The sequence below is a fragment of the Homo sapiens genome, chromosome 19, assembly GCF_000001405.40.
Source record: "Homo sapiens chromosome 19, GRCh38.p14 Primary Assembly".
Classification (NCBI taxonomy): domain Eukaryota; kingdom Metazoa; phylum Chordata; class Mammalia; order Primates; family Hominidae; genus Homo; species Homo sapiens.
This window is the reverse complement of record NC_000019.10, coordinates 53,288,709-53,294,708: the sequence shown is the minus strand read 5'-3', so window position 1 is coordinate 53,294,708 and position 6,000 is coordinate 53,288,709. Positions and strand designations below refer to the sequence as shown.

Genomic DNA, 6,000 nt, shown 5'->3' with positions numbered 1-6,000 from the left:
TTTCCACTAAGCATTCATGCACTAAGGATGAGAGAAAACATTCGTATTCCAGCAACTGCCATTTGGAGACACCCTTTCTGCACAGGATTAGGTGATTCCTCTTGACCTCTCCTATCTCTTTGAGAAGCATGGTGGTCTTGTAGTGCACTCTTAATAATTCTGAAAATTGAGTCTATAATTCTCCTAGGGTGGACTGAACAGTAGATTAATTTTGGAGCTAAAGTCCTTAAGCACATTACAAGTCAGTTTTCATTATCACTTGGATTAAACACCAACAATCAATGTCACTGCGGATTACACTAAATTGCATTATGTGACATCAGGGATTGGTGTAGGGTGTCCAAGGGAGAGAATAGAGTCCTGGGTTCTTAGTTTGTTTCTGGTTGGGCCAGTAAAGTCCCTTCCTCAACCCTCTTTTCTGCTTATCACTAGAGATGGGGTTTCACTGAATTAGCCAGGGTGGTCTTGATCTCCTGACCTTGTGATCTGCCCGCCTCGGCCTCCCAAAGTGCTGGGATTACAGGCACGAGCCACCATGCCCGGTCCATTATTTTATTTTATTTATTTTTTGCGACAGAGTCTCGCTCTATCGCCCAGGCTGGAGTACAGTGGTGCCACCTCAATTCACTACAGCCTTCGCCTCCCAGGCTCAACGGATTCTCCTGCCTCAGCCTCCCAAGTAATTGCGATTCCAGGTCAGTGCCCTCACACCCAGCTAATTTTGTATTTTTGGTAGAGATAGGATTTCACCATATTGGCCAGGCTGGTCTCAAACGCCTGGCCTCAAGTCATCCACACACCTCAGCCTTCCAAAGTGCTGGGATTATAGCCGTGAGCCACCGCACCCTGCCCCCACTATTTTAAAGTGGATCGCAAGAAAATCTTCCTAACTTTTGCCTCAGTGGAAGGCATTATCTTTGTTATATTGTTCAAATAATTTATCTATCTTGTAACGCCTATGAAGACAGTACCACCATCTTTCAAGGCTGTTTTTTACACAAAATCTTTAGAGAGTCTGGAGCAGAAGCTGATAAAAGACGTAGGAAACATAAGGAATGCATGGGGAAAATATCTCTAAACACAGTGGACTTCTCCCTTTAGAATATGAAAATAGGCCGGATGCAGTGGCTCATGCCTGTAATCCCAGGACTTTGGGAAGCCAAGGCAGGTGGATCACCTGAGGTCAAGAGTTCGAGACCAGCCTGACCAACATGGAAAAACCCCATCTCAACTGAAAATACAAAATTAGCCAGGCATGGTGGCGCATGCCTGTAATCCCAGCTATTCAGGAGAGTAGGTGGGATTATTTTGTTTTATTTTATTTTATTTGTAAAATGAATAAGCAGAAGAATCACTTGAACCTCGGGGGCGGTGTGGGGGAGGTTGTGGTGAGCCGAGACCACACCATTGCACTCCAGTCTGGGCAACAAGAGCAAAACTTTGTCTATATATATATATATATATATATATATATATATATATATATATATGAAAATAATTGATACTTTGAGAAAAAAGGCCCATTAAAGATTCTGGACACAAAGCTTTGTTTTGTAGTGCTGTGGGATTGCTAACATGTCCAGTAGGCAGGAAGAAGGGAGAGAATGACCACAAGGCTTCACAGAAATGTGAGCTCCAGTGGTGATGAGAGAAAGAGTAGAAACCGTAATGAAACATGATGGTTTCCATCCAGTAAAAGTCATGAGGCTTAACTGAACATAGTATCAATTGTTAGTGCAATGCAACAACTTAATTCTGAATGGATATCTGATTTAAATTGTAAAGATGACTAATGAAATTTTTAGAATAGATCAAAGGAGAACAAAATGATTTCTCACACAGCCCGAAAAGCATTAATGTGAAGTATAAAAGGAGAAATGACAATTCAGTTTATAAAAAATTTAAGAGCTGATATTAATAAAAAGATAAGAAAGATAGAACAAAAACCAAGGAATTACTTGTTTCCAGCATATATAGTGTACTCAAATCAATAAGAAAAAGAAAGGCAATACAACTGAAAAAAATATTATCTATCTATATGTATGCACACACATATATGCACACACACACACACACATATATCCAAAATATATAAGGAACTCATACAACTTGATACCAAAAACATGAATAACTCGTCCTAAAATGGGCAAAGGACCTAAATAGACACATCTCACAAGAAGAAATCCAAATAGTCAACAGACATGAAAAAGAGACAGCATCTCTAATCATCAGGAAAATGTAAAATAAAACTGTAATGAGCTACCACTTCACACTTGATAGGATGGCTATTATCAAAAAGACAAAGATAAGTGTCAGTGAGGATGTGGGAAATCCTTACACATTGTTGATGGGAATGTAAACTGGTATAGCCATTGTGGAAACTACTATGGAGGTATCTCAAAAAACATAAAAATAGAACTGCCATTTCATCCAACAATCACATGTCTGGGTAAATATCCAAAGGAGGCAGGGGGCGGTGGTTCACACCTGTAATCCCAGCACTTTGGGAGGCCGAGGCGGGCAGATCACTTGAGGTCAGGAGTTCGAGACCAGCCTGGCCAGCGTGGAGAAACCCCATCCCTACCCAAAATACAAAAATTAGCTGGGAGTGGTGCAGGCACCTGTAATCGCAGCTACTGGTGAGGCTGAGGCAGGAGAATTCCTTGAACCCGGGAGGTGGAGGTTGCAGTGAGCTGAGATCGTGCCACTGCACTCCAGCCTGGGTGACAGAGCAAGACTCTGCCCCCCCAAAAATATATGTATGTATAATATATATTTATTTAATATATATTTATAAAAATATATTTTATAACATTTGGTATAATTTATATAATTTTATAATTTATATAATTATATTTATATGAAAAAATATATATTTATACACACACATATATATAAAATCTCCAAAGGAATTTAAAACACAATCCCCAAAATATATCTTGAATTCCCATGTTTTTTGGAGCATTATACAGAATAACCAAGATACGGAAATAACCTCAATGTGCCCGAACAGATAAATGGATAAAGACTTTGTGAGATACACATACAACACACACACACTATATATACATATAGTGCCATGCAACCTACACACGTGTGTGTGCGCGTGTGTATAAAACACAGTGCACTAATACTCAGCCTTTAAAAAAAATGCCACTTGCAACAACGTAGATGGAGCTGGACGATATCATGCTAAAATTATGCAAAGTGAAACAAGCACAAAAAAGAACGAGACACGGGCGTGGGGCACGAGGTGCTCACTGCGCAAGCGCCCACTCCACCGCGTGGTTTCCAGCTGGAGGCTGGGAGCGTTCGTGGCTTCCTCTTTTCTTGCTGACCCTTCGGAGCTCTGGGAAGTGGCTGCACCTTGGCGGCTCCCCAGAGCGCGCGGTGCTAATCGTGGGTCGTCAGCCTGGGTGGCTGGGCCCGGCTTAGGGCAGGGTTTGGCATTTCCAATGGTAGGGGGCTCGGACCGTCCCTCCGCGGGACCCTCCCGTTGGGACAAGGCCGATCGCCTGGGCGGTTGGAGCCGCTATCCTGGCGCGAGACGGTGGACAAGTCCTATATTCAAGAGAAGATAACTTTGAACAGTTTCGAAGGATCTAAAACGTATGTGTCTGCAGACATCAATGAGGATGAAGAATTAGTAGAAGAGATTAATAGATCAAAAACGTTTGCTGGCTTTGCAGGTGGTGGGCCTGCCTGGGCATCGGCGCGTTGGAGGAGACGCCCTGGGGGGCCTTAGCTGCCCTGAAGCGGTAGACAGGTGGCAACGTGGGGGCTCAGGAGTTGACAAACACAAGAAAGCAGCGCCGAATTGCAGGTTTATCCGCAGCTTTTATTTTGAAGACAGTGCCACGAAACCTGCAAATCCTGGTGTCCCAAATAGTCAATACCAAGTTGAAAACCATCTGGGAGAGGAAAAGCGTTGTGCTTTAGACAGGCCGTCTGAGACTCGTGCAGACCGGCTTTTGAGAGCTGGACAGGTGGTGGATAGATCAGACTCCATACACCCGAGGAGCCCCGCCATGCATAGTGAAGAAGCTAGATAACAGTCGTTTCACAACTGGCCAGCCTCTGCCCACTTGACCCCGAGAGAGCTGGCCAGTGCTGGGCTGTACTACACAGGCACTGATGACCAAGTGCAGTGCTTCTGTTGTGGCGGAAAACTGAAAAACTGGGAACCTGGTGATCGTGCCTGGTCAGAACACAGGAGACATTTTCCTAATTGCTTCTTTATTTTGGGCCACAACGTTAATATTCGAGGTGAATCTGATGTTGCGAGTTCTGATAGGAATTTCTCAAATTCAACAAGTTCTCCAAGGAATCCATCCATGACGGGTTATGAAGCCCGGCTCATTACTTTTGGGACATGGATGTACTCCGTTAACAAAGAGCAGCTTGCAAGAGCTGGATTTTATGCTATAGGTCAAGAGGATAAAGTACAGTGCTTTCACTGTGGAGGAGGGCTAGCCAACTGGAAGCCCAAGGAAGATCCTTGGGAACAGCATGCTAAATGGTATCCAGGTTGCAAATATCTGCTAGAAGAGAAGGGACATGAATATATAAACAACATTCATTTAACCCGTTCACTTGAGGGAGCTCTGGTACAAACTACCAAGAAAACACCATCACTAACTAAAAGAATCAGTGATACCATCTTCCCTAATCCTATGCTACAAGAAGCTATACGAATGGGATTTGATTTCAAGGACGTTAAGAAAATAATGGAGGAAAGAATTCAAACATCTGGGAGCAACTATAAAACGCTTGAGGTTCTTGTTGCAGATCTAGTGAGCGCTCAGAAAGACACTACAGAAAATGAATTGAATCAGACTTCATTGCAGAGAGAAATCAGCCCTGAAGAGCCGCTAAGGCGTCTGCAAGAGGAGAAGCTTTGTAAAATCTGCATGGACAGACATATCGCTGTTGTTTTTATTCCTTGTGGACATCTGGTCACTTGTAAACAATGTGCTGAAGCAGTTGACAGATGTCCCATGTGCAGCGCGGTTATTGATTTCAAGCAAAGAGTTTTTATGTCTTAATGTAACTCTACAGTGGGTGTGCTATGTTCTTATTACCCTGATTAAATGTGTGATGTGACTCAACTTTAAGTAGTCAGCACTGAATTCCATCAGCATTTGCTGCCAAGTAGAAAAAAAAAATGCAAGCCAGGCGTGGTGGCTCACACTTGTAATCCCAGCACTTTGGGAGGCCGAGGTGGGATCATCCTGGCCAACATGGTGAAACCCCATCTCTACTAAAAATACAAAAATTAGCTGGGAGTGGTGGCACGTGCCTGTAGTCCCAGCTACTTGGGAGGCTGTAGCAGGAGAATCACTTGAACCCCGGAGGTGGAGGTTGCAGTGAGCCGAGTTTGCACCACTGCACTTGACAAGAGTGAGACTCCGTCTCAAAGCAAGTGTTTTAGTTGGCAAGCTAAAGTTTGAATTTTTGCATTTTTTCAGGGTATTAGCTGTAGTATTTATTCATTTTTTTCTGTTGTTTAATTGAAACCCTAGGCCAAGAAATATTGTATTATAACTGATCACAATATATATTTGTGGTATACTGACTTAGTTTCTAAGTGTAAGTGAATTAATCATCTGAATTTTTTATTCTTTTCAGAGAGGTTTAACAAATGGAGCATTCTGTATAAACATGGAGATTGGAGTTAATGCACCAATCATATAACTGATTTTGTGTGAAAAAGGAATGAACTGTTCCATACTGGTGGAAAGATACATGTTAAATTTAGATGTTTGTGTTTTAGGATTCTGTCCATTTTCTTTTAAAATTATAAACATGTACTTGCGTGAATGAATTTTTAAACGCGAAGAATAATTGTTTAGGCCAGGCTTGGTGGCTCACACCTATAATCCCAGCACTTTGAGAGGCTGAGTTGGGCAGATCACTTGAGCTCAGGAGTTCAAGACCAACCTGAGTAACATAGTGAAACACCTGTCTCTACTAAAAATACAAAACAAAACAAAAAAATTA

General features: G+C 42.4%; 1 pseudogene across 1 annotated transcript; it reads left to right on the top strand.

Moving 5' to 3' along the window:
• Window positions 3,275-5,108, top strand: BIRC8 (baculoviral IAP repeat containing 8; annotated as a pseudogene). The gene has a single exon (NR_159880.1). The product of NR_159880.1 is annotated as a baculoviral IAP repeat containing 8 (transcript).
• Window positions 5,109-6,000: the final 892 nt, after the last annotated feature.